At 53.9% G+C, this 27536-nt stretch overlaps 1 protein-coding gene, 1 long non-coding RNA gene and 1 other non-coding gene across 4 annotated transcripts, besides 3 other annotated features; 1 reads left to right on the top strand and 2 right to left on the bottom strand.

Moving 5' to 3' along the window:
• On the bottom strand, positions 3105-26025 carry MYH7 (myosin heavy chain 7). 2 transcript variants are annotated; one of them, NM_000257.4, is made up of 40 exons: positions 25985-26025; positions 24559-24614; positions 23897-24105; positions 23449-23592; positions 23004-23160; positions 22844-22871; positions 22126-22234; positions 21950-22042; positions 21783-21846; positions 21266-21364; positions 20925-21028; positions 20140-20278; positions 19594-19712; positions 19320-19469; positions 18865-19035; positions 17950-18259; positions 17605-17672; positions 17142-17229; positions 16329-16446; positions 16060-16183; positions 15647-15783; positions 15134-15389; positions 14272-14514; positions 13912-14088; positions 12545-12690; positions 11323-11413; positions 10210-10599; positions 9848-9974; positions 9542-9660; positions 8575-8771; positions 7868-8051; positions 7518-7683; positions 7233-7357; positions 6369-6677; positions 5994-6197; positions 5746-5871; positions 5360-5635; positions 4372-4467; positions 4124-4258; positions 3105-3236 (listed from the first exon to the last, which is right to left on the bottom strand). In NM_000257.4, the coding sequence occupies exons 3-40, from the start codon at positions 24095-24097 to the stop codon at positions 3219-3221; spliced, it is 5808 nt and encodes a 1935-aa protein (NP_000248.2). In that variant the 5' UTR covers positions 24098-24105; positions 24559-24614; positions 25985-26025; the 3' UTR covers positions 3105-3218. The 2 variants fall into 2 exon arrangements, with proteins under 2 accessions (NP_000248.2, NP_001393933.1); NM_001407004.1 differs by lacking the exon at positions 24559-24614.
• Positions 5611-6810: an enhancer, noted in NCBI's record as "BRD4-independent group 4 enhancer chr14:23884455-23885654 (GRCh37/hg19 assembly coordinates)". NCBI's record gives its function as "activates an origin of replication core promoter dependent on BRD2, P300/CBP, MED14 and CDK7 cofactors, and independent of BRD4, by STARR-seq in HCT116 cells {active_cell/tissue: HCT116}" and the evidence as "EXISTENCE:reporter gene assay evidence [ECO:0000049][PMID:35650434]".
• On the top strand, positions 5815-7960 carry MHRT (myosin heavy chain associated RNA transcript). Its single transcript, NR_126491.1, has 6 exons — positions 5815-5866; positions 5986-6194; positions 6366-6662; positions 7281-7373; positions 7577-7738; positions 7898-7960. It is a non-coding gene; the product is annotated as a myosin heavy chain associated RNA transcript (long non-coding RNA).
• On the bottom strand, positions 8352-8428 carry MIR208B (microRNA 208b). Its single transcript, NR_030624.1, has one exon. It is a non-coding gene; the product is annotated as a microRNA 208b (primary transcript).
• Positions 14765-15964: an enhancer, noted in NCBI's record as "BRD4-independent group 4 enhancer chr14:23893609-23894808 (GRCh37/hg19 assembly coordinates)". NCBI's record gives its function as "activates an origin of replication core promoter dependent on BRD2, P300/CBP, MED14 and CDK7 cofactors, and independent of BRD4, by STARR-seq in HCT116 cells {active_cell/tissue: HCT116}" and the evidence as "EXISTENCE:reporter gene assay evidence [ECO:0000049][PMID:35650434]".
• Positions 25885-26722: an enhancer, noted in NCBI's record as "H3K4me1 hESC enhancer chr14:23904729-23905566 (GRCh37/hg19 assembly coordinates)". NCBI's record gives its function as "activates a minimal SCP1, AML or CMV promoter by ChIP-STARR-seq in naive H9 embryonic stem cells {active_cell/tissue: H9 hESC(naive)}" and the evidence as "EXISTENCE:reporter gene assay evidence [ECO:0000049][PMID:30033119]".

Raw genomic sequence — 27536 nt, forward strand, 5'->3', positions numbered from 1 at the left:
GTCTTCAGCAGGCTGTTCCTGTTATGACTAAGTGGACATTGTGTTCAGGAAACAAAGCCAGACTCCCCTGCTCTGGCCTTCCCCCCACCCTCACACCCAGGAACACCCTCCCAGCCCCCCTCCCACCAGTTTACTGTCACCTCTCAATATAGCTCCAGGGTGTGGAGGTGGGTAGGACGACAGGGGTCAGCTTCTCTGGGTAGGAGCACTTTCCATTAAGATGTGGCCTCTCCCCTAGCTCCCTAGGACGCTGCCACCCCATTCCTGGGCTCAGGAACACACCTCTCTTTCCAGAGCATTTGGACCTTTTCTCAATGTCCTTGGAGGGACCTTAGTTGACCCCACATCCCCATCTTCTGCAGGTGCTTATGCCAAATCATTACCCCCAGGGGATGCAGGCCACCTGTCCCCAGCTCTAGGTTACTCGAGGCCCCAGAATTCGAGCCGGGGGGTTAGCCCATGGCCAGTGCGTCACTGCTTGGTTCCCATAGCTCTGGGGACATGATAAGGAGCTGAGAACGCCAGGTCAGTCTGGGTCGGGGTCAGGTGACAAAGACCAGGCTTTGTCCTCAGGGAACCCTGTGCTCTGAGCAGGCCTCACTTGGTATAGGTGGTGGTGGCAGGGCAGCGGGGAGTGGAGGTGGTGGGGGGTAGTCCCCCGCTCCTGTGGAAGGAGGAGGAAGGAAGGTGTTCACTCAGCCCCAGGCCCTGCCCGTCTGCTCCGCTGTACCGTCCTCTCCCTTCCCCAGGCTCCTTCTCTCCCTGCTCTCACATATTGCTCTCCGTCCTCCCTAAGCTGCCTTGCACACAGCTCCTCATTCTGCTGGGAGTCCTGGAATATAAGGACAGGGATGGAGGCTTCGGCCACAGGTGAGGGTGCCAAGGAGGCAAGGCTGGCCTCCCTGGCACAGGTTGCCTGTCTTCTGCCTGGCTCCCCGTTGCATCTGTCTCTGTCTCACCTTCATTCCCTCTGCCTGCTTCTCCATCTCAGAGTGGGGCCTGCCTCCGATTCTCCCTGGCCCGTGTCTCCACCCGGCTCAGGGTCTAACATGAGGCTCTGCCCTCTCCGAGCTGGCCTCTTCTCTCGCCCTGGGCCTCCACATCTTGCTCCAGGCTCTTCCTCCTCTCCAATCTCCTTGCGCCTTCCTGACTCTCCTTGCATTTGCAAGTGACCCAGGATTCTTTCCTTCACTCGGGATCACCACCCGCAGCTCTTCAAGCTTCTCCCTCCAAGGCTCCCTCTCTTTTCCTCTCTCCCCATCCCCCTCAGCACCCCTCCTTCTCCCTGGCTTGGCTCTCAGACCTCTCTCAACCCTGCTGTCTGCATCCAGCCCCCGACCATTCTCATAGGATCTGTATCTCTTGCGGTCTCTCTTGCTCTGGTTGCTTAGGTGCCCTGGGTCTCTCTGCATAGCTCCCTTTTCAAGGGTTCTCTCCTTTGTTTCTAGTTATCTCTTCATTGCTGTCCAAGTCTGTTCCTAGCCAGAGGAATGGCCCTAGGGATCTCGGCCCAAGCCGAGGTTGTGCCACTGCACTCCAGCCTGGGCAGCAGAGTGAGACTCCGTCACAAAAACAAAAACAAAAACAAAAAGGCTGAAAGAATCCTAGAAATCACAGAGAACTGAATTACCTTGGCCTCTGGGGCTGTGTGGTTCAATTGAGCTGGATAAATGAAAAGGAAGCATCCCTGGTTTGAGGGAGCTCTGTCTGGGTTGGCCTAGGGAAGGAGAATGGAGGTGGCTATGAGGAGAAAGGTGGCGGCGCCTGCGGATCTTTCTGGGGCCTCCTCATTTCCTGCATCTTTTTTCCTTGTCTCTGTTTCCTCTGGTTACCTTGTCCTGTGGTTGCTCAATCTCTTTGTCCACTGCCACCCCCTCAGGTCTTTCCTTGTCCCCTCCCTACCCCCTTTTTCTCCTCTGCTGTCACCTGCTATTGTCCAGTACTGGTTTCTCCTTCTCCGGCTTAGGGCCCTTGGCTCTGGCTGCCGCAGTCCTCAGAGCTCCGAGCTCAGAGCTGGGTACAGAGCAGGAGTGGGCTCCGAGTGGGTATGTTGGTGGGTTGGGGGAGATCCAGTCCAGGGCTGAACCACTGCTTCCCAGGTTCCCAGTGGGGCCGACAGCCCCAGTGCCTTTCAAGCCCCTGACCTCTGTGGCCCACAGTCCCAGGCCTGCCTAAGCAACCCAGCTGTGGCAGGAACTCCAAAGGGGCTGAACTTGTTTAGTTGGAGGAGACTTACTCTTTCCTCCACCTCCTGGCCCTCTCGGGAGCCATCCCTTCCCTCCCTCTCCCCAGAGTCCTGTTCACACATAACCTTCCCCAGCCCCTCATCTGTCTGCCTCCCCTCAAGATGGCTTGCCATAAATGGGCCAGGAGAACCCCATCTTCCCACAAGCCCAGAGGACAAAGGGCTTGGTAATGGGAATTACAATGGGAAGAAATGAGTGGGAAGAAGGGAGCACCCTGGGCCAAGGGGGCTCGGCACCAGGAGGAGCTGAGGAGGACGGCAGGTGGGCTGAGGGTGTGTTTCTCCCACCTGTGGTGGGCAGGGGGTATGCTGGCTTCTGGCGGTGGCTGGAGAGGGTGGTGGCTCTATTTAAAAGGGGATGCAGGCTACAGCTGTGAATCCTTGTGTACTCTCAGAGACTCGCCTGGGACTGGCACTTAGGCAGCCATTGCCTCACCTGGCCCAGTGGTTCACACTTCTGCGGGCTCAGAAAGGGCACTGGCCAGCACCCACACCCCGAACCGCTGCCCTTTGCCCAGCCCTGGGCAGTATCCATGGTGGTGGGTGGGGCAGGGTTGACGGAAGCTGGGGTGCAGGTCCACAGTAGATGGGCTCAGGGTGCTCTAGGTGAACTTTAGGGGTCTCCCTAAATCTCCTTTAAATCCTGGCTGGACCAGGGAGAAGGCTGGGAGGAGAGGTGTCGCCTCTGCTGCATTTGGCTGGTTTGGGGGAAGTGAAAGGGGTTTTCAGTGCTGCTCCACGAAGGCCTCCTAGGCCAGGCCTTTGAATTTGCCCCCACTCCCCTGCATTTCCACCTCCCCTAGTCCAGACCCCATCCCCGGGTCCTCAGGGCAGTGAAGAAGAGTCTGGAGTCAGGATCTCGGCTTCAAGGAAAATTGCTTTATTCTGCTTCCTCCCAAGGAGCTGTTACACAGGCTCCAGCATGGGGCTTTGCTGGCACCTCCAGGGCTGAGCAGATCAAGATGTGGCAAAGCTACTCCTCATTCAAGCCCTTTTGAAAGGAAACAAAGTCCAATCAGTCCTTGGAGAGATGGTATTGGGCAGGGACAGGGCATGGGAACAAAGGTGAGAGGGGTCTGATGGTGGGGGGCCTGCTTTGTGGGCAGGTGGAAGCCCCTGTGGCAGCAGCACATGTGTTTCCAGGGATCGATGTTCGGGGGGCAAGTTCTGGAGGGTAGGGTTCTGGGGTTGGTCAGAGGGAAGTTGCCTGGGCGAGAACAAAGCCAGGCCCGGGTTCTCTGGGATGTCCATTTTAGGTTTGAGTTACAAGATTGCAGGACAAAATTAGGTGGAAGGGAACTGGAAACTAGCAGTTGGGGGGAAACTGGGATATACTGGTTGTATATAAATTAGGGTCTTCTAGGGTGGCACCCCTCCCTAAGGCTGAAATTCCCAGAACCACTGAAACTTAGAGCTGAGCTGGGAGTGGTGGCTCACGCCTGTAATCCCGTACTTTGGGAGGCTGAGGCGAGTGGATCACAAGGTCAGGAGTTCAAGACCAGCCTGGCCAACATGGTGAAACCGCATCTCTACTAAAATATAAAAATTAGCTAGACATGGTAGCACATGCCTATAATCCCAGCTACTTGGGAGGCTGAGGCAGGAGAACCCAGGAGGCAGAGGTTGCAGTGAGCTGAGATTGTGCCACTGCACTCCAGCCTGGGCGGCAGAGTGAGACACCGTCTCAAAAAAAAAAAAAAAAAAAGTTAGAGCTGGAAGAATCCTTGAAATCACAGAGAACTGCATTACCTTGGCCTCTGGGGCCATGTGGCTCAAGTGTGTGGAATAAATGAAAAGGAAGCATCCCGGGTTTGAGGGTGCTCTGTCTGGGTATGCCTGCTGTGGGGGTGACTAGCAAAGCCCAAAAGAGGGACCCACCTTCGTGCCAATGTCACGGCTCTTGGCCCGCAGCTTGTTGACCTGGGACTCGGCGATGTCCGCCCGCTCCTCTGCCTCATCCAGCTCGTGCTGCACCTTGCGGAACTTGGACAGGTTGGTGTTGGCTTGCTCCTCCTGCGGGAGGTGGGAGCATGAGGTGAGAGGGGGCCTGGGTTCTCAGACTCCTGGCTTGGGGGACGAGCTCTCCTATGCCTCCCCTGGGCCTAGTCCCCAGCAGGGTCACTCACCGCCTCCTCGGCCTGGCGCTTGTAGGCCTTGACCTTTAGCTGCAGCTTGTCTACCAGGTCCTGCAGCCGCAGCAGGTTTTTCCTGTCCTCCTCCGTCTGGGGGCCAGAGGGTAGGCAGGGGGTGAAGATGGCACAGTCATAGAAGGTAGCATCCCCTCCGCCCTGCCCTGCTTCATCTGATATCCTGACCCAATTCTACTTTCTGATCCTCACTAAACACTTGAATTCTCCTTATAATTTCTTACCAAATATGTGTAAATATTTTAAATGATCTGTACCAGGAAAGAGTCCAAAGAACTAGTGGGACTCCTGAAATTATGCACAAAATTGTGTGTGTGCAGTGCTCCAGGGAGCAGGTTTTTCAGGGTCCGGGGACCCCATGCGGGATGAAGTCCCCTGCTCTGGACCTCGGCACATGCTGGGAGTGACTTTGGGGCTATGAGTGTGATGGAATTTCCTGGGCTGCAATGCAGGCCAGGAAAACACTGACTTAATCTAAGTTAAGGACAAAGTGTGCTTAGAGAGATAGTGACATCCTGGATTGGAAAAGAAACAAATTCTAATTCAGAGTCTGATTCTAGAAAACACCTCAGAAAGCTAGAGTCCACACTGCCCTGGGCAATGAAAAAGTTTTTATGCTTGTTTGAATGGGATGGGTGTGTTTTTGGTGTCTTTTGGGGGTGACCCTGGCTACATATTTGCTTTCTGGTGAGCTGTACTGGGTGAGCTTTGTCTGGAATTCTGTGTGTGTCCCCTGGCGATGGGCTAAGAGTGGGTGTTGAGATGGAGCTCCCAGGCCAGGAGGCTCAGAGACTGACCTCTGAGCTAGGGGACATTCAGAGTGGGGCAGGGCTAGGCAAAGTGAAACGGGGGCTGCATTCCCATCCTCGCCCTGGAAGAGGCTAAGAGCAAACTCTTCATTCTCCTCAGCTGGTTGTCACTGTGGCTATGGTGCCAGGGCTCTGCCTGGAGTCACCGCCCGTCGCACCTGGTAGGTGAGCTCCTTGATGCGCCGCTCGCTCTTCCTCATGCCCTTCACCGACTCTGCGTTGCGCTTCTGCTCGGCCTCCAGCTCATTCTCCAGCTCCCGCACCCGCGCTTCCAGCTTCTGCAGCTGCTTCTTGCCGCCCTTGAGGGCGATCTGCTCGGCTTCGTCCAGCCGGTGCTGCAGGTCCTTAATGGTCTGTTCCATGTTCTTCTTCATGCGCTCCAGGTGGGCGCTGGTGTCCTGCTCCTTCTTCAGCTCCTCTGCCATCATGGCGGCCTGTGTGCAGGAGAGAGGTGGCACATGGTCTGGTCAAGTCCTCACACACTTGCTGCCCAGCCCACGGAGAGACACTGGTCTGGATCGGGTCGGTGGAGTGGGGGACTTACATCCGTGATGGCCTTCTTGGCCTTCTCCTCAGCATTCCTGCACTCCTGCACTGCCTCCTCCACTTCAGTCTGGAGCTGGGACAGGTCAGCATCCATCTTCTTCTTCTGGTTGATGAGGCTGGTGTTCTGGGTTGGGGGAGGGTTGGGCAGAGCAGGAAAAGCATTGAGCATCTATGCATAGCTCTCAAGCCTTGCTTGCTGAGCCCCAGCCTGTGCTCCCTTCAGGAATGAGCAGGGGAGCTGCTCACCTGGGAATGCAGCAGCTGCACCCGCTCACTAGTCTCAATCAGCTCCTGCTCCGCCAGCTTCCGGGACCGCTCTGTCTGCTCCACCACGGCACGCAACTCCTCCAGCTCAGCCTGCAGCAGGTTGTTGCGCCGCTCCACGATGGCGATGTTCTCCTTCAGGTCGTCGTTGGCACGGACTGCATCGTCCAGCTGAATCTGGGTGTCCTGAGGATCAGGAGAGTGGGCATGAGCAGGGAGCCAGCCTCGGTTCCCTTCACTAAAGGCACCTGTCAGAGGTCCCTGCAGTAACCTAGGGGCAGGAGGAATCTGGTGCCTGTATCAAGACACTACTGCTTCGCCAGGCCACGTGGAGGCCAGTCCCCTCTGGGTGAGTACCTTCAACAAGCTCTGGAGGCTCTTGACTTGCTTCTGGGCCTCGGCGGCCATGCGGTTGGCGTGGCTGAGCTGGATCTCCATCTCATTGAGGTCTCCTTCCATCTTCTTCTTCACCCTCAGGGCCTCGTTGCGGCTGCGTGTCTCTGCGTCCAGGGAGGTCTGCAGCGAGTCCACCACCCGCAGGTGGTTGCGCTTGGCCTGTTCCATCTCCTCGTCCTTCTCTGCCAGCTTCCGCTCGATCTCTGCCTTGATCTGGTTGAACTCCAGCTGGGCCCGGAGGATCTTGCCCTCCTCGTGCTCCAGGGAGGCCTGGGAAGGGGTTGGGGGAGGGGATGCAGGCAGACAGTCAGGGCACAGGGCAGGGTGGGGGCCTGCTCACTAATCATGGATACGAAGTGACTTCAAGAGTGGTGTAAGTGGTTCAAAGAAGCAGAAGGTGGAGGAAAAGAGAATCTAAGAGAAAATAAAAATAAGCCTAAGAGAAAGTGATTCAGGCCCTCACAGGGGAGAGCCAGCTATGAAGACAAGGAGGAAAATGAAGAGAAAAGTGTTGCCAAGGAAACAGAGGCAATCAGGTATAGAGTATAAAAGAAAACAGAGGGAGGCAGAGGTGGGAACCGGGAGGTATGTGGAAATGGGAAGCTCAGCTAAGATGCAATGGGTAAAATGTTTATGTGAAGAGAGTTCAGTGACTGGTCATTCATTCACTCCACAAATCTTCACTGAATGCCTACTATGTGCCAGGCTCTGTCCTAGGCTCTGGGGATGGGACAGTGAACAAAACGGACAAAGCGGGGGATGAGAACAGGGACCAAAAGCCTGGAGCTCAGCTCCCTGCACCCCGTGCCCTGCACACACACACACCTCGGCCTCCTCCAGGGCTGACTGCAGCTCCATCTTCTCGGCCTCCAGCTGCTTTCGGACCTTCTCCAGCTCATGGATAGTCTTTCCGCTGGAACCCAACTGCTCAGTCAAGTCGGAGATCTCCTCTGTGTGGGGAACACGGTAACTCGGTTGAGGGCTGCTGAGGTCCAGTGGAGTTGGAGGGACACGCCTCTTTGCCCAGACGCCTCTTGGAGCCCTTGGGTGGCACCATATGGGAACACTGCCAGTGCAGCCCCTCCCCAGCCTCTTGGGCCCCCAGCACACCCTGCAGGTTTTTGTTCTCCCGCTTGAAGGTCTCCAGATGTTCCAGGGACTCCTCATAGGCGTTCTTGAGTTTGAAGAGCTCTGTGCTGAGGGAGCGAGCCTCCTTCTGCGAGGACTCCAGCTCCGACTGCGACTCCTCATACTTCTGCTTCCACTCGGCCAGGATCTGCCCGGGGACAAGGCTCACTCTTCAGCCCCCCAGCCTCAGCCCCATGTCCAGGGTCTGTCTCAGGACCTGCCTGGGCTCAGCCCTCCTCCCCCACCTCCAAGGAGGATGGCTCTGGCCTCTCACTGAACCCCTCATGCCCCCTTGCCCTGCATGCTGGCTGCGGCCCCCACCCAGGGCCCACCTTGTCGAAGTTCCTCTGCTTCTTGTCCAGGGCTGCAGCAGCAGCATTGGAGCGCTCTACGTCCACCATCAAGTCCTCGATCTCATTCTGTAGCCGGTGCTTGGTCTTCTCCAGCGAGGAGCACTTGGCATTAACAGCCTCCACGGCCTCCTCAGCTTCCTGCAGCCGCTGGGCCAGCTTCTTCCTGCCCAGGGGAGGGTGGCAGAGGGTGGGGAGGATGGAGGGTGTGGATGGGGACAAGAGGAAACAACATGAACCTTCTCAAAGACAATCCTTGAAACCTCAGAAGTGTAGCTGGAGAAGCCTGAGGACAGGTCCCAGGGGCCGAGAACATCAGGCAGAGGATCCCAGCAGGGCGTGGAGACCCAGGCACCCTCTGACCCTGGCCCAGCCTCTGCGCTATGGACATTGAGGAGGTATGGGCTTCTGCAGCCCTCCCCACTGCCTTTCCCTGCCACAGTGCCCTGCCCCAGACGGAAGCACTCTGCCCTCAGACAAACCTTTTGTTCGTCTTATATTCGGATCAGAAACATAATTCGAGCAAAAAGCTTCCCTGAGAGGAGAAGGAGGTGGGGCCGGGGCAGAGTCCTCCTGTGTTGTCAAACACTAGCTAAGCATCGCCTGTGTGGGATCTGCTGAGGCTGGGGCTGGGCTGAGTCCTGCCTGCAAAGGGGCCTCAGCCAGAAGTCAGGCTGCTCAGAACTCACTTGGCCTCCTCGAGCTCCTCAGTCCGCTGAATGGCGTCCGTCTCATACTTGGTCCTCCACTGGGCCACCTCCGAGTTGGCCTTGGAAAGGACGCGCTGCAGCTCGGCCTTGGCCTCCGTCTCCTCCTCGTACTGCTCCCGCAGCAGGTCGCAGTCATGCCGGGCCGACTGCAGTGCGTGGGCCAGGGCGTTCTTCGCCTGGGGAGGGGTGGGCACCAGGAGGTGGGTTCAGCTTTCTCCATAAAGCAACCCCACCCTTGCCCTTCTCCTCACCCCAATCTCAACATCATCCCTTGGCCTCATCTATGTCCAAACCCCCAGTGGACCTGTCATGGTTTACTGTTTGCTGATAACAAAGAATGCCAATACAGCAGTGAACTATTTAAGAAAAGCTTCATGGCCATTGGCCCTGAGCTCCTCCCCACACCAGACATGGTCATCATCACCGCCATTTTACCTGGCTGGGGAGAGGGAAACAGGCTCAGAAAGGTTAGGGGACTTCCCTAACCTAAGATCACTGAGCTATAAGAGGCAGGTTAGTATGAACCCTGGAGTTTTTTAAAAATCATGTTCTTTCTCCTTTTTCATGAGTCCAGCAAAGTGCTAGGAATAGGCTCCAGTTGAATTTCTTTCTCCAGTTTTCAGGTGGCCCTGCAAATCCCAGGACCCATTTGTGCAGTCCCTACATCCCCTAGCCGTGCCCGGGCAAGGCCATCTCGTGCCTCCCTAGTTCATTTTCTCTCCTCCTTCTCACACCCTGCCTCCCGTCCAGGGATGCAGCAGAAGCAGAGGGCCTCAGCCTGGGGAGTAGATGGCATGTGGCAGGGTTTGGGCTGTGATTTCTTTTTAGAATTCTTGGAGAACTGTTGGTCCACAGCCAGCCTTATTGCTGGGAAGGGAAGTGATTTGATGCAAGGCTAGTCAGTGTGCTCCTTGCTTGGGCCAGGTGGCCCGAGTCTAGCCCTTACCTTAACCTCCTCCTCCAGCTGCCTCTTGAGGTCCTCCAGCTGCTGGGTGTAGGTGAGCTTGCCTCGGGTCAGCTGGGAGATCAGTGCCTCCTTCTCATCCAGCTGCCGGGACAGCTCACCTGGGGAAGCACCATTCTAGATCAGCACTCCTCTCTATCCCCACCTCCTCCTCTAGCCCTCAGGCCCCATTTTCTGGAGAGACTCTGTGTCTGTGTGTGCGTGTATTGGCTTGTGCCCGAGGCTGGAGTGGCTCAGGAGGTTGGGGAGACTGTGGTGGGAACCATGGAGCCCCTGCTCTAGGCTCACCATTCTCGGTTTGCAACTTGGCCCGCTGGCTGGTGAGGTCGTTGACAGAACGCTGGGTCTCCTCCGCCTTGCTCCGGTGCTCATTCATCTGGTCTTCCAAGGTCCGGCACATCTTCTCCAGGTTAGCCTGAGAAGGGAAGGAGAGTTATATGATGGATGTTGGGGGCGGGGGGAATGAAGGGGTGTAAGAGGTGCAACTGAAGGAGAAAAGAAGAGGGAAGGTGTGAAAAGAAGGAGGGGATCTGAGAACCAGGCAGAGGAAGGGAAGTGGGAAAATGAACCATGAAGGAAGAGACACTACATGGACAGAAAGGGGAGGTGGGAGGAGGAAGTTGGAGGAGGGGAGGCCGAGCAGAGCCTGCCTTGGCCTTGATGATCTGCTCCATGTTGGAGGTGACGTCATCCAGCTCCAGCTTGAACTCGCTCTTCTCCTTCTCCAGCTTCTGCTTCACCCGCTGCAGGTTGTCGATCTGCTCGCCCAGCTCGGCCACGCTGTCGGCGTGCTTCTTGCGCAGGGCCGCGGCAGTGGCCTCGTGCTGCAGCGTGGCCTCCTCCAGGTCCCGCCGCATCTTCTGGAACTCGGCCTCGCGCTTCTTGTTCATCTCGATCTGCACGGACGTGGCCCCGCCGGCCTCTTCCAGCCGCTCGCTGATCTCCTCCAGCTCCCGAGACAGGTCTGAGCGCAGCTTCTCCACCTTAGCCCTGGCGGTGCGCTCGGCCTCCAGCTCCTCCTCCAGCTCCTCGATGCGTGCCTGGTCAGACACAAAGGGCTCAGACCCACCGCCTGGACCCCTCCACTGGAATCCCCCCGGCTCTAAAAGGCTCTCGGCTTCTCTGGAACAGCAAGTCAGTTTAGCTCTTCCAGTGGAGAGGTGGGAATTAAAGGATTTGGGGAAGATAGTTTGAAGAGCCTTCCTTTAGGCGAGGGCCTGACAGTCTACATGCTCTTTATTGGAAGGAAAGTGGTTGAAACTTGCTCTTAAAGATGGACAAAGAGACCTGTGTTCTGGGGATATTTTAAGCAGTTTAGTCATAAAAAAATAACAAAAGTTGAAAATGAGAGAGCCGTATTTGTCTGACCAGACAACTAAAGACCTAACACAGCTTCTGCTCTAGAGTAAGGAGGAAAGTCATGCCATCAGAGTCGAAGGACTCTTAAAAACCTCCATGTAACAGGGGAGGGCATGGAGACCCAGAGATCTGGAGTGGGCTCCCAGAGGTCACCCAACTAAGGCAGAGCTGAGACAGGAAGCCAGGAATTCTGCCCTCCAGGCCTGTGACCTTTTCAGGGTCTCTGTGGATCACCTGACCCCTTTTGGATGTATCCATGGGCACACTGTGATAGCTGCGTGCCTGCCTCCATGGACACATAATCAGTTCCTGTAATGCTGTGAACAGGACACCCTAGAGGAGGGGGCAGGGGAAACAGAACCAGCCCAGGGACTCAGCATCCCGCGTGGGTGTCCAGACCTCACCTGAAGCTCCTTGAGCTTCTTCTGCAGCTGGCTGCCGAGGGCCTGTTCATCCTCAATCCTTGCGTTGAGAGCATTCAGCTCAAAGTCTTTTCTGTGGGGAAGGAGGGATGGTGAGGTAAGGGAGACTCGTGGGGCCTCAGGAGGGTCCACCAGTGGTTGAAAATGGTAATGATACAGGTAAAGAGTAGGATTTCATTAGAAAAACAGCTTCTGGGGGTGATGTAGGATCCCTGGAAGTGTAACACCTGCGGTGAGATTGAAATCCAACAAGAATGTAATGGGAGGAGTGCTGTAGACAGGGTGATGGGGCCTGGGCTCTACAGGACATTCCCATCTTTGGTCCTTGTTTTCTCATAATGTAAAATGAGGGGGTCGGACTAGATTGTTTCAAAGGTCCTTTTTAGCTCTGATGGTCTTTAATTTTGTCACTATTGCTTTGGGTAACTCAGCTAACCTTTCTGAAACTTATTTTCCTCTTTGGTAAAGTGAAATTAAAGATACCATCCTTAAAAGGTGTTTTGAGAATCAAATAGGATCGTGTATTTATTCATTTATTCAACACATTCTGTGCCTGGGAAGGTATGAAGATTCCTGTGCAAACACAAACTTGATGAGGATGTAGATTATGATGATTCTCAAAGCCTTTCAAAGTCCTGAGCCTGAAACACCATAAGACCTTCAATTATCAAAATATGTTCTGCAAGCTCACTGTTTACCAAGTCTGGAAAGTCTATACATTTTGGAAGAACTTACACTAAGAATTGGAACCACAAGTTAAGCAAAACAAAGAAATGGCCCTGATCCCCTGACTTCTTTAATGTGAGGGCATTTCTTGGTGCCCTGTGGGCTCTCTGTGAAAAGCCACAAAGGGACTTTCCTAAGAGGCTCTCATGTGGAGCCTTCCTCCATGTCAAGGAACTGGTCTCCAAAGAGAGATGTGTATGAAGGGGGAAGGCTGTTATTTTCATTCCCACTGAGTGCCTAACAAGAAGAAAGGACTCATGGGATACAATGGACTTTTTGCCAGGGAGGACCATCTAACTAACCCTGATATCTGGGACTAGGGGAGGAAAGCCCTTGCCTGGGAGGCCTTTTCCCATGGTTTGCGCCTCCACTTGTGGAGGCTGCGTGAGGTTGTTGCCTCAGAGGATGGCTGTCTTGGGTCTGCTTGTACTGTTATGGGCTGGGGAGGAGGAAGGGCAGCAGGGAGGGGACACAGTACTTTTTCAGCCGCTCATCCAGCTGCTGCTTGTCATTCTCCAGGTCCATGATGCTCTCCTGGGTCAGCTTCAGGTCGCCCTCCAGCTTCCGCTTCGCTCGCTCCAGGTCCATGCGCACCTTCTTCTCTTGCTCCAGGGATCCTTCCAGCTGGTAGAGAGAAGGAGCCAGGCCCAGTGAGGCAAAGCATCCTGACTTGGTGATTTTGTTGTTCAGTTACCTCAGGACTTGGTAAATCTTTGTGTTCAGGACTTGGGAAACCTTCCCCAGAGTGGGCCAAATGTTATTAGGGGACTGTGAGATTGCCTAGATATAGGGGATGCTGAATCAATATTTTATAGATAAAGGAATAAATGACTGTGGGATGAAACCCCAAAGCCGTATTCTTTCTTTCTTTCCCTTTCTTTCTTTCTTTCTTTCTCTCCTTTCTTTCTCTCCTTCCTTCCTTCCTTCCTCCTTTTTTTTTTTTTTTTTTTTATGGAGTCTCACTCTGTCGCCAGGCTGGAGTGCAGTGGCGCGATCTCGGCTCACTGCAACCTCCGCCTCCCTGGTTCAAGGGATTATTCTGCCTCAGCCTCCTGAGTAGCTGGGACTACAGGCGCACGCCACCACATCCAGCTAATTTTTGTATTTTTAGTAGAGATGGGGTTTCACCATATTGGCCAGGATGGTCTCGATCTCTTGACCTCGTGATCCACCCGCCTTGGCCTCCCAAAGTGCTGGGATTACAGGTGTGAGCCACCGCGGCTGGCCGCCGTATTCATTCTTTCAGCATCCTATAAACACCTACTGGGCATCAGGCTCTGTGCTAAGCACTGCAGTCCCCAAATTGAATAGATCTAAGTTCCTATCTAAAGGAAGCTTGTAGTCTTATGGCTGAGATAGAAGCTTAAATAATTAAAATACAGAGTGATAAGTGAGTCAACAGACATATGTGCATCAGAGGGAACAATGATCAGATTCTGCCTTAAATATTGGAATTTCAAAAATTCTACTTGGGGAGCCTCACAAAATTTCCAAAGAAATTTATCATGTTCTTATGAGATGACCCTCTAAATCTTGTGTCAAAGGCAGAGATATATGGGATTGCACTTAAATTAAATAAGAAAACTCATCTCTATTATTGATCATACCAGTGAGATTAGATACATAATTCAGAATTGATCACCACCTCTGACTTTTCATTCCCCAGCTCCTTTCTAGAAAGATATCAGAAAAGTTAACATCCTCTAACCCTACCCCCCTCTAAACATAAACACAAACACACACACACACACACACACACACACACACACACACACACACACACACAGAGCTCTGGGCACAGATAGACATGGCATATCTAGGCCCCACAACTCTCAATCTACTCACATCATCCACTTGCTGCTCCAGCTTGACTTTGGCCTTAGTCAGGGTGTTGACCTTGTCCTCCTCGGCCTGAAGGTCATCCAGAGCCTGTTGGTGGGCCTCTTGCAGAGCTTTCTTCTCCTTGGTCAGCTTGGCAATGATCTCATCCAGCCCAGCCATCTCCTCTGTCAGGTTTTTCACCTGCCGACCAAGAATCCCATCTCCTTTAGGGTCAAAGGTCACCAGCTTGGTGCCATCTGTGGGGAGCTCCATGTCAAGGTCCATGCTGCTCTCTGGATGCCGAGTGGCTAGCCTGGGTCAAGGTCAGTATGGTCTGAGAGTCCTGATGAGACCCGGGCTGGAGCCAAAGGGAGCTGCCCTTACCTTGTTCTCTGTTGCGTGTTTCTCCTTCTCCACTTTGGCCAGTGTCAGCTCCAGATCATCGATGTCCCTTTTGAGCTCTGAGCACTCATCTTCCAGCTTGCGCTTCTTGGCAGTGAGCTCAGCATTCATCTCCTCCTCATCCTCCAGCCTCTCGTTCATCTCCTTCACCTTGGCCTCCAGCTGAATCTTGTTTTTGATCAGCTGATCACAGCGCTCCTCAGCATCTGCCAGGTTGTCTTGTTCCTGAAGGTGAGGAACAGAGGGGAGGCTGTTCAGGGGGTAAGGTCCTCATTCTTGCAGGTAGAGGGAAGGAGAGGCACATCACTCAAATAGGAGGGTAACTCTAGGATATCCCCACTTGGCAAGAGCTTCAGAAGTATGGGGAGGGGAAGAGTTTCAGGATAGTATAACTTGGGAACACTGGGGAGGGGAGCAGAGAGGAAAGGAACCAGAAATCTTCATCTGGACCTCTTCCTCTGGTCTCCTCCATCGAAGGGTGGGAATTGCATTTGCTGATGCCAAGCACTTATGTATGATGGCTTAATGAAATGGACAGCTTTATTCCCTGTCTAGAGGAAATTGAGGCTCAAAGATGATGCATGGTCTGCCCAAGGTCACAAAATAATTAAGCTGTGTATCTAGGTTGAACCCAAGTAGAAAGCCTGTGCTTTTAAAAGTCAGCTCTTTTCCCTCTGCCCTTTCCTCCTCCTGAGGGACCTCTTTGGAGGTCTTTAGAAGTGTTGATCCCAGAGTCCTCTGACTGAAGGAACAAGACAGTGAGCCCCTGTGCAGGGAGGTGCAGGGTTGTGGGAAGTGAAGGCAGAGCAGGGTGGAAGAGCCAACAGTAGCCCAGGAGCCTCACCGCCTGCACTTGGAGCTGCAGGTCATTCTTCTCCTGCAGCAGGGACACCATCTTCTCCTCCAGCTCCTTGCGGCGAGCCTCGGACTTCTCTAGCGCCTCTTTGAGGCGTGTGAACTCCTCCTTCATGGAGGCCATCTCCTTCTCTCTTTCTGCACTCTTCAGCAGCGGCTTGATCTTGAAGTAGAGCTTCATCCAGGGCCAATTCTTGACCCCCATGAAGGCCCGAATGTTCCACTGGATTACCAGCAGGGAGTCTCTGCAGGGGCCCATTGAAAGGAGTGCTGAGCCTCCTGCCTCCTTCCTACCTGAGGTCCTGAAACCTTGGGAATATCCCATTTCCTTCATCCCTCCCACCCTTCCTGAGGCCTCTGACCCTGTGACTGCAGTGTGTTCATATGAGCCCCTCCTGCAGGTCTCTGTGTTTGAAGATCTGCTGAGCTTTTTTTCCTGACACTGCCCCTGAACCAGCCTGGGCCTCAGAGAAGCGGGAAACCTCCTCTTGAGATCTCTCACCTACGTTCCAGCAGCTTTTTGTACTCCATTCTGGCGAGCACACCTCGGGACTGGGCCTGGATACGCGTGATGATGCGGCTCAGCCTCTCGTCCCTCATTTCCTCCAGCAGCCCCAGCAGCCCGGCCTTGAAGAACACCTGCAGGCAAGGTGTGTGTTGGCCATGACTAGGGAGGGGTACGAGGGAAAGAGATGGTGGGGATTACCTTAGGAAGGGTAACAGCCTAGAAAAGGATTGCAGGGAGGAGGTCAATGGCAGCTGGAGCTGGGATGAGGGGAGTGGTGCTAGATGTTCCACTGGGAGGGGTAGCATACAGGTAAGAGATTTTGCTAAGATGATTACAACAGGAAAAGCATCAGAGGAGTCAATGGAAAAGAGATGTCTTCCTTTAATTAATTAGTCTCCTTTCCTCACCTTGGTGTGGCCAAACTTGTACTGGTTGTGATCAATGTCCAGGGAGCTGAGCAGCTTCTCTGCCCCCTTCCTGCTATCAATGAACTGTCCCTCAGGGATGGCCGCTGGGTTCAGGATGCGATACCTGAGGAGGGAAGTGTCCAGAGTCACCCATGCTCTGCAGTGATCTGCTCTGCCCATAGAATTCCAGGGTCACCTGCAGATCCCATTCCCATCAGGGCAGCCTGGCTCCCCCTGTTCTATGAGCTCTGGTGCACCCTCATACCCACCTCTGCCGGAAGTCCCCGTAGAGGATGCGGTTGGGGAAGCCTTTCCTGCAGATGCGGATGCCCTCCAGCACACCATTGCAGCGCAGCTGGTGCATGACCAGGGGGTTGTCCATCACCCCTGTGGCAAGAAGGAAGTAGGAGGAGTCTGTGAGAACACTGGACTGAAGTTCTGGGTTCTGATCCTGGCTTTGTCACTGATTAGCTTGTAATCTTAGCAAGTCAGTTAGTAATAATCATTTGTTTCATTTTCTTCTAGCCACATTTTTAACTAAAAGGCTTTCACATTCCTTTTTTATATGATTCACACCTATTATCATAGGTGGTAGCCAGAACAGATATATCCAATGTTCTAGATGAGTAAATTAAGCCCAGAGGGGTTATGGGACTGGCCCAAGTTCACTAAGCTGATCAAGAACAGAGCCAGGTCTTGAACCCAGGTCCCTGAGCCTCTGTCTCCTAATTAGCCAAAAATGGATTAACAATTTGAATATGTCTCATTGGGGGATTAAGTGGTTCTGCAGGTAAATTTAAAGTTGAACTAAGATTCTGTCTTGGACAACCAGCTATCCAAGGGGTTGTAGGGCCACTGATGAGGTAATGTCCATCAGAGTGCCTTACACATCACCCTCATTACACACTGCAAGTGCAAGGTAGCGCTGAGAGGGAGGTACCCTGGGAGGCCTCATGCGGGATGGGAGGAGAAGAATGTGGTTTGGAAACCACTGTGGTGGTAGGTAGGGAGATGTCCTAGGAGGTCCTGTTCCCAGGGCGGTGTATGCCCAGCAGTGGGTTGGCCTGAGTTTGTGGCCTCACCTGGAGACTTTGTCTCATTAGGGATGATACAACGTACAAAGTGGGGATGGGTGGAGCGCAAGTTGGTCATCAGCTTGTTCAGATTTTCCTGTGGCCAAAAATGCAATAGAGAAAAGTAAAGAAAATGCCAGAAAGAGATGCAGGAAGAAGAGAGGAGAAGAAGGAAGGAAAAGAGAGATGGAGAGAATTCGAGAAGTCACAGAGATGAAGGGGCCCTGGGGGCAGACAGGGATAAGGAGAGAGGGTGGGAGACAGAAGGGAAAGAGGAGAGAAGGGAGATGGGAAGTAAATAAGTGAAGAGGCCAGGAGATGACGGGAAGAGAAGACAGAGTGAAAATGGTCCCGAATGCACCAAGGAGACAGGGAACGGGAGGAGTAGGGGATGAACAAGGCAGGGAAGGGTGGGGCTGGGTGGGGTTGGGCAGATGGGGAGCCAAGTTGGCTGGGGCTGTGTCCCACTCACCCTGTGCAGAGCTGACACAGTCTGAAAGGACGAGCCTTTCTTGGCCTTGCCTTTGCCCTTCTCAATAGCTGCAGGAAGGAGAGTCAACAAAAGAAGCATCAGTGTGGGGAGGTAGGGTGTGAGTAAAGAATCACAGCCCCTCTTTACATCCTTGCTGGCATTTGGCCCCTGGGTGAGGGCCTTCAATGTGGCTGCCTCAGTTTCTTCACCCAGTTCCATCCCACTGAGTCTGTAAACCTTGGGGTACAACCTGACATTGAAGTGGTGGGGTGTAGCAATTGACCTGGCTCAGAACCTTGGCAGAATCCCTGCTCCTCTGTACCGGGAGCCTCAGTCCCTACTTACGCGCATCAGCCCCAGCATAGTTGGCAAACAGGGTGCTGAGCAGCTTGAGGGAAGACTTCTGATACAAGCCCACGACAGTCTCATTGAGAGGATCCTTGTTCTTCTGCAGCCAGCCAATGATGTTGTAGTCCACGATGCCGGCATAGTGGATCAGGGAGAAGTGGGCTTCAGGCTTCCCCTTGATATTGCGTGGCTTCTGGAAGTTGGCGGATTTGCCCAGGTGGTTGTCAAACAGCTTGGCCTTGAAGGTCATGTCGGTGGCCTTGGGGAACATGCACTCCTCTTCCAGGATGGACATGATGCCCATGGGCTGAGGAAGCAGGAGAGAGCATCACTGAGTGTCCTTCACACAGGTGGACATGGATTCTGCTCTATGGTCAATATACTTGCTCGTGGAGGTGCCATGTTGGGTGTTAAGGTAGTAGGCTCAGCTCTGAGTACAGTTATCTACTGACTGGAACCGGTTCAAGGTGGAGGATTTTGTCTGATGACAGAAGGACCTTTGTGAAAGTCTGGGAATATGGATTCTATCGATGCTGTACACACCACTCCACGACCCAGATGCCTGAGATGCTAGGGTTGAAAATAGGTGCACTCTTATGATCCCCTACACCACCCTCACACTTCCTGATCCTTGGATGCATAAACCAGGCCCAATAAACATGCAGGTGTGGGAGGTCATCATGCAGGTGCCCATCCTCCATGTGTCCACTTTCAAGCCCCTGGGAAATCAGCTGTCCCTGGTGCCACCCTGTCCTGGGTGCTCAGCACAACATAGGCTCTGGAACCAAGGGCTCGGATCCTTCAGCCCCTTCTATTTTTATATTCCCCAGAAGGGAGAGGGGCTGCTATTTTGTCTATGGTGTTCTTGTTGGGTGTGCAGGGAGAATTCAGGTGGTAAGGCCAAAGAGGCACCTTCTCGATGAGGTCAATGCAGGCCTGCAGGTCCATGCCAAAGTCAATGAATGTCCACTCGATGCCCTCCTTCTTGTACTCCTCCTGCTCCAGCACAAACATGTGGTGGTTGAAGAACTGCTGCAGCTTCTCGTTGGTGAAGTTGATGCAGAGCTGCTCAAAGCTGTTGAACTGCAGGGGGCATGAGGGGTGGGAGCAGTCAGAAAGTGGGTGTGAGTGGCCATTGGGGCTGTGCCCGTCCACTGTGCCTGAGCCCAGCAGGGCGTGGCTGGTCCCCTCCATGTCAAGGCAGTGAAGGAGGGCTTCCCCTGAAGACAGAGAAAATGACTGCCTCTGTCACCACACAGTCCCCACTGCCTTCCCATGTCTGGTCCACAGCTGGCTCTAAGCAAATAGCTGTTGAATGTGGGAGCGAGTGAGTGATTGTTCTCCCACTCCCAGGGGTCCCAACTCACATCGAAGATCTCGAAGCCAGCGATGTCCAGGACTCCTATGAAGTACTGGCGTGGCTGCTTGGTCTCCAGGGTGGCATTGATGCGCGTCACCATCCAGTTGAACATCCTCTCATACACTGCCTTGGCCAGTGCCCCAGTGGCATATATCACCTGCAAGGTGGAGGAGAGACCCATATTGAGCAGGGTTGTTGGGAAGAGTGAACTTGAAAACTCTCATCCCACCATGCCAGTCTCCCTACCCTGCCCACCCATTATCATCTGAAGATGGACCCACCTGCTGGACATTCTGCCCCTTGGTGACGTACTCATTGCCCACTTTCACCCGAGGGTGGCACAGCCCCTTGAGCAGGTCGGCTGAGTTCAGCCCCATGAGGTAGGCAGACTTGTCAGCCTCTGGAAGGAAAAGGCAAGTAGCAAAGTTGGTAAAGAGATGACTGCTGGCCAGGTGTGGTGGTTCATGCCTGTAATCCCAGCACTTTGGGAGGCCAAGGCAGGCGGATCACTTGAGGTCAGGAGTTTGAGACCAACCTGGCCAACATGATGAAACCCCATCTCTACTAAAAATACAAAAATTAGCCAGGCATGGTGGTGCATGCCTGTAATTCCAGCTACTCGGGAGGCTGAGGCAGGAGAATCACTTGAACCCAGGATGTGGAGGTGGCAGTGAGCCAAGATCGTGCCACTGCGCTCCAGCCTGGGCAACAGAGCAAGACTCCATCTCAAAAAAAAAAAAAAAAGAAAAAAGAGAAGAGAGATGACTGCTGAGCAGACATGGCCCTCCATGACTTGACAGCTGCCCCCAAGAATCCCTGCCTCCCACCTTCAGTGCCGTCTGGCTCCGCCTGCTCCTCCCGCTGCTTCAGCTTGAACTTCATGTTTCCAAAGTGCATGATGGCGCCTGTCAGCTTATACATGGAGTTTTTCTCCTCTGAAGTGAAGCCCAGCACATCAAAAGCGTTCTGTAGGGAGGCCCCATATTGGCGGACCCCAGAAAAAGAAGTATGATGGGTAAGTGAGATCCCTTGTAAGTTGGAGAGAAAACTTGTCTCCTTAATCCCTGTGGGTTCTGAGACTCCCATACCCAGTGGGGAGCTCCAAAACAAAGGATGTAAGATGCAGGGAACTCCAAAACAAAGGATGTAAGATGCAAGAGCAGAGCAGACGTCAGTTGGCCGCAGCCCCAGTGTCAGTGGCCACAGCTTTTCTGAGTTACCCACTTATGCTTCCTGGCCCTACACTTGCTTCCTGCCTGGCCTTCCATACCTGTCTGCATCTGTTCACCTAACAGCCCCTCCAGCCCCATGCCGTCTGCATGGCCTTCCCTCCTCGTCCTGCTCCCTCGGTGATGCTTGTTTCTTGGCTTGTGTGTCTCTCTGTCTCATGGCTTTCAGCTCTTCCTGGTTTGATAGAACACCAGATACTGGCCAGTCCTGTCTCACCTCATCCATTCCCCAGTACACCCTGATCACAGGGCACATTCTGGCTCTCAGGAGGTCCATACCACTTTAAACAACCAATGGCCAGCGTCTTAGCTCTGCTTTTGGACCCCTGTTTGCCCCTCACTGCCAATCCTCCCACCCCCTGGCTGGGTCCTCACACACTCACATCAGTGGCCATGAGCTCCTCAGCGTCATCAATGGAGGCCACGGTGGTCTCTCCTTGGGAGATGAATGCATAATCGTAGGGGTTGTTGGTGATCAGCAGCATGTCTAGGGGAAAAAACATGGTTAGGGTGGGACACAAGCCCCCGGCTCTCATGGAGGCTGCTCGCCACAGCACATGGCCTGAGGAAGAGCACAGGACAGGGCTTGGCTTGGCCCCACATCCCACTGAATTGAATCCAGCAGTGCCATGAAACCCAGGGCATGCCAGCTGAGTCCAGCCACAAGCAGAGGGGACCAGGTTGCCATGGAGATAGTTGGTCTCAGTCGGTGGCTCTGACTCACCCAGCAGCTCAGGCTTTTTGTTAGACAGGATTTGGTAGAAAATGTGATAATCTCTCTCTGCTTTCAGCTGGAAAATAACTCTGGATTTTTCCAGAAGATCTGTGAACAGGTGGGGAGAAGAAGGAGAGAAAGAAAAGTTAGGGTTTGGGCACAAGGAAAATTAATGATAAATGTAGCAAGCAAAAGGCAGAGGGAAGGGAAGAGCCAGAGAGACTAGTTGGACAGACACAAAGAGATCACACAGAGAGATGGAAACAGAGACCCAGAAGGAGAGAAATAGTCTCAGAGAGAAATCCCAGAGAAAGACACCTAGCCATGCAGAGACAGAAATGGAGAAAGATGCAGAGGAAGTCTCAGAGAGAGACAGATATGTAGACCTGAAGACAGAGACACCTACAGACAGAGACTTAAAGAGGAGAAAAACAGAGGGAGGGAGGGGAGAGAGAGAGAGGTCAAGACCAGATGGTCTAGAGCAAGGGTGAGCTTAGGCTGAGCCTAGCAGATTCATGGCACTCACAGGTCTCTATGTCTGCAGATGCCAACTTTCCTGTTGCCCCAAAATGAATTCGAATGAATTTCCCCTGGAGAGATGGAAGAGAGTGGTGATGAGTTGGGGGAAGGCTCATATCTGAGACCATTCCTCCACCAGTCCAAGTCCCAAGGCCAAGGTCAGGGACCACTCACGAAGCGGGAGGAGTTGTCGTTCCGGACGGTCTTGGCATTGCCAAAGGCCTCCAGAGCAGGGTTGGCCTGGATGATCTGGTCCTCCAGGGTGCCCTGCAGAGGCCAAGAAGGAGGCAGGTGAGAGCTCTTCTCCCTCCCTTTCTGCGGTACAGGACCTTGGAGGGCAGCAGGCCTACCTTGCCCGGGCTCTGGTCCTTCTTGCTGCGGTCCCCAATGGCTGCAATAACAGCAAAGTACTGGATGACCCTCTTGGTGTTGACTGTCTTCCCTGCTCCGGATTCTCCGCTGTGAAGACAGGGGCTTATTGGGCAGTGAACAATACTACTGGAGACCAGCAAGCCTCAAATCAGGAGAGAATGCCTGGGCCTACCCGAGAGTAGGAGCCCTGGGCAAGAAGCTGCCAGGTTATCTACACCCAAAATCCACAACTGTCTTCTGATGCACAGAGGTCAGGGCTGGCACCAGGAAGGATGCCACCAGAAGGCACTGGTTTGGGCAGGCTGAGCCTGTGCTTGGCTGGGCAAAGTAAACAGGGGAGATGGGCCTGGGCTGTTTTGGGAAAAGTTGGTAGGGCTGGAAGAATGGGAAATGTTTCTGAAGGGAAAGAAAATGCAGAGGTGAAGACATGGCGATAATGAGCTTCTGGATAAACGCGTGATGAGTTGGAGAGTGGGTGAAGGAGGTGGGAGAGGAAAAACATGAAGGGGATGGAAAGCAGAAAGGAAGAGGGAGAGCAAAGAGAGGGGTCAGGGTAATGGTCAGAGAAGAAGGAGATGGGCACGAGGTTGGGGGGAAAGAGGCTGAGTCTATGCCTCGGGGCCTGGGACACCTGATGGGGCTGGAGGCTGGGATCAGGGAGATTCTGAAAGGGAATACAGTAGCAGCTACACTCACGTGATCAGGATGGACTGGTTTTCTCTGTCTGTGGGGAGAGGGTGGGGAGGAAAGGTCAGGAGCTGCACAGGATGCTCTCGTGGGGCTTCTCCCTTCCTTCTCCCTCTCCCTCCCGGCCTATCCCAGTTCCCTTCAGGAAGACCCTTCCAGGGCCTCTCACCTGTCAGCATGTACTGATAGGCGTTGTCGGAGATGGAGAAGATGTGGGGCGGGGCCTCGCTCCTCTTCTTGCCCCGGTAGGCAGCCACCACCTCAGGAGTGTACACCGGCAGCCACTTGTAAGGGTTGACGGTGACACAGAAGAGGCCCGAGTAGGTCTGGGGATAGAAAAGGAGCAGTGACTTGCCAGTTGCGAAGGGGGAGGGCTGGTGATTTTGGGAGTTAGAGAAAGATCCCAGGAGAGAAAGAAGAGAAAGGAAAACCTCTGCATGCACTCAATCTGAGTAATGCCAGTCCCCAGAGTGTTGGAATTGAACCAAGGATGTTGGGACGAGGTTAGAGTGTAACCCTGCCTAGACACAAACAGAAGACACTCTTGGCTCCTGGGGTGGACATGGATGGAGCAAGAACAGAGATCCCAACGTAGGGCCAGGTGCAGCACTCACGTAGATCATCCAGGAGCCGTAGCGATCCTTGAGGTTGTAGAGCACCGCGGGCTCATGCAGGAAGGTCAGCATGGCCATGTCCTCGATTTTGTCGAACTTGGGTGGGTTCTGCTGCATCACCTGGTCCTCCTTCACGGTCACTGTCTGCAAGAGCCCCCACCCAAGCCCTCCTGTCAGCCTGGGCTTTCCCTCCTTCCTCAAGAGGGTTAGGAGTTGGTGAGTGACAGGGCAATAGTGCTCAAGAGAGAAGGAACCAGGATCTCACAGGGAAGACAGAAGGGATATTGGGAAGGAGAGGGCTCTTTGGAGGGTCTGGATTCTTCCCCAAAGGGAAGGAGAATGGGACCATCCTCAGGTCTGCATGGGCATGGGGCATGGGTGTACCCCTCTCTGTCCACCCAGGTGTACAGGTGGCCAGGGTGGACTCTCACATCAGCCTGACACCCACCTTGCCATACTCGGTCTCGGCAGTGACTTTGCCACCCTCTCGAGACACGATCTTGGCCTTGACAAACTCCTGTTTGTCATCAGGCACGAAGACATCCTTCTTGAGGTCAAAAGGCCTGGTCTGCGCTTCTAGCCGCTCCTTCTCTGACTTGCGCAGGTAGGGGGCGGCAGCCCCAAAGACTGCCATCTCCGAATCTCCCATGGCTGTGCCTGGAGTGAGCAGAAGCTGGCTGCCCTCCCATCTGCCCATTCTTCCCTTCCCTCCCTGGGCTCTCCCCTTCAGTGGGAGCCCCAAAACCTAGCACCATGCTCAAGAGTCAAGAGGAGTTACCAGTGAGTCCCTTCCTCTTTGAGGTTACCCCTTAACCAGAGGAGCAGCCTAGCAAACCTGCCAGGGTAAAAGGAACAACTAACTATTGTTCAAGCTGGGGCTCTCCTAGGGGAAGGAAGAGCATTCTGAGCTCCCTGTAGGAGCAGAAATCTAACTATTTCCATCTCTGACCCTCATCTATCCCTGGACCCCCTGGTCACAGGTAAGTAGCTCTTGATAGCCAAGATATTCTCTCCAGCACATGGCAGAAACTAGAGTTCCATAGGCTGGCTTTGGGGCTCTAATGCCCAGTCTTACTAGATTTTCAACACTCTAGCTTCAGCTTTTCTTACCTGGGCTACTCAAGTGTGTCTACAGATGAGGAAAGGGGCCAAGGCCTGCAGGGGACCTGGAGAGAGGGAAGAGGCTGTGTCAGGGCAGGCTGTGCCCAACCTGACCAGTCCCACCTTCCTGCTTCTCCCTGGCTCTGTTCTTCAGCATCCACCCTCTTCCAAAACAAGGTGGAAAGGGTGGTCAGCTTCTCTGGTCCCATCCTTCTTGTTTTTCAAACCCTATTCCCTTTTTCCTCAAGAACTAGTTCTAACAGCTTCCTGGTGTCAACTCAACCTGAACCCTAATCCTCTTCACTCCTGCGAGATGGTCCCACCCCTGCCTGTACCCATCTAGTGGTACCTTTCTTTGAGCCATCTGAGAGACAACTAATGGTCACATTTGTTCGGCACTTTCCAGTCTAAAAGCACTTCAATGCACTTTCTCCTACTCAGTCTTCACCCCATTTGACAGATGAGGAAATCGAGGTTAAATGGCTTGCTTGGCCAAGAGCCCATGACAACAAGTGGGAGAGCCAAGACTTGAATGCAAGTCTGATGACTCTAAAGAGACTTCTTTTCCATCCTGTCCCCATTTTGTTGTCAGACTTTGTGGACATTCTCAGAGAGAAGACACTGTGGGCTTCCTCTCACAGACACACCCATCACATAGCCAAACACCCTCCACAAGCCCTCTGATGAACACTCATGCCTGCTGCTTGGGCATGCCTCTCACATGAAGACAGGCTTCCTTCCCATACCTCAATCCGCACCCCAACCCCAGGGTGCCATATATGCCTCAACAGCAAATGTGCACATTTCAGGATGTGTGCCACGTAAGTAGATCACATCACTGCGTGTTCTTCAGTACACAAAGACCTGGAACATCCTACACCCCCGTGCCTGTGAGTTCCTTCTGCAGAGGGTACAGATACTATAACAGTCATGACTCGTGGAGGCATAGACAAGAACCTCTGCATGCATGGACAGGGGTAGCTACACATTCCAGGCCTCACAGAATCACATGAAGGCATACACACTTCCTAGAATCCTTCTCCACCATTCTTTCTCCCTCCCTGCAAAGGAACCTCCTCGTTCACAGACGTGATCATACACCCACATCTCCCACTTGATATTTCTGTATCAGTCAGTGAGGTACATACCCTTTCTCACATTCAGACTATGCAGGCTTGTCCACACACACACACACACACACACACACACACACACCCTGTAATGCATATTGGTCCCATATGCTCAGATGCAGATATCTTCCCCTAGGAACTCCTGTGGCACATACGCCCATGTTTAGACCTGCACATGTGTGCCCAGTGACTGGACCTGGTACTCTGCATGAAGTCCTGCATGAAGCTTGCTATTCCAAGAGGAATCCCTTCCTAAGCCTGGAGCCCCCTTATCCCAGAGTAAAGCCTCCAGCTCCCGCTCCTACCTGAGAGCAGCAGGGAAAGACACAGAGCAGGACAGAGCTGTGGAGCCAGACCTGGTCTCAGGGGCTGTATATATGGGGCAGCAGGGCACCCCCACCCCCAACGGCACCCAGTCCCTAGCCGGATTTAGAAAGGGCTGTTGTCACTAGAAGCATTTCCCCCAGGCTCCCCCCCTTCCCAAACAGTGCTCCCCTCCCCGCCTCTCCAGCTAGGAAACAATTGGAAGTGGTCGTCATTGTTATGGCATGGACTGTGCAGGGTCTGAGTTCCAGGGGGCGGGGTGGCTCAAAGTGCAGCAAAAATATCTCCCAGGCCAGGCCTCACATTCCACAGCTGGCAGGAGAGGGAACTGACCACGACCACCAAGACCACAGGCAGCCAATGTCCTGGCTCTCCCGCAGGGCACTTCTGGCCCTGGACACTGCTCCCCCTCCAGTCCCCTGCTGCGAGGCCCCTGATGGCCTGGCCGCATTTCCACAGTGTCCTCCCTGCTCTCCTGGCCCAGGTCCTGTATCCAACTGGAAGCTGGGAAGGGGCTGAGTGTCAGCAGCAGAGAAGGGTAGGACAGAGTTGGGGGCATGGCCCCAGGGTGAGGCAGCTAGACTGGGGCAGCTGGAAGGACATTTCCTAGCCAGGTGGCAAGAACAATAACCATGGAGCTTAGAGATGGGGACTCTGGCTCAGGCACTGATTTCCTTGGACCAGCAGGCAATGTGTTGAGGTCACCAAGCCTCCGAGCCAGACAGGCCTTTAGCAATCCATCCAAGCACTTCATTTAATGGAGAGGGACAGTGCATTCTTTAAGGTTATACAGCTAATCGGGGCAGCAGGATTCAAGGTGGGAAACCTCAGCAGATGGGAGTGGAGCCCGGCCTGTGGAGGGTAGCCTGGAAAGGTGGGCTGGGATTCCAAAGATGTGGGGACCCCCTATGCGCAGAGAGCAGGACCCAGCTGCATTGGTCCTAGTTTGGAGCGGTTTGCCTGACTCACGTTCCTGGCTCTGCCCCACAGGTACTAAAGGCCTGAGCCCAGAGACAGACCCTCTCAGAGCTATAGATAATACAACTACTTGGAGCTGGAAGGAGACCCCTAAGACAGCTGTTGTCTGGCCCACCCAGCCTCAGCTTTATCCAGAGCTGGAGGCGACTAGTGTTCTGGCAAGTGAGGCAGAGTAACAGGACAGGAAAAATCTTCCCCTCTGCAGGCCTGAGGAACAGCCACAAAGGAGGGGAGGAAAGGGAGCTGGGGCCCAGCCTACGAGCACAGAACACAACCGATGCCATGCTCTTCTAGCAACGGGGCATGCAAGCTTGACTGGCTCCGTGTCTAGGCAACCACTGCACGATTTGGTGTGAAATCTCCCCCTTCTTCCCAAGCACAGCTCTTCCGCGCATGCGGATTAGTCCATCTGATTAGCTGTCAGCTTGGAAGGAGTGAGGCAGGCCTGGGGGATGGGTGCAGCAGGTACATTTTGAAGGTGGGGTGGGCATAGCAGGGAAGGGAAAATCCAGGAGGAGGCCTCTGTGGGGGTTGCTTGGTAACCAAGGCACTAAG

The sequence above is a fragment of the Homo sapiens genome, chromosome 14 (assembly GCF_000001405.40).
Source record: "Homo sapiens chromosome 14, GRCh38.p14 Primary Assembly".
NCBI lineage: Eukaryota > Metazoa > Chordata > Mammalia > Primates > Hominidae > Homo > Homo sapiens.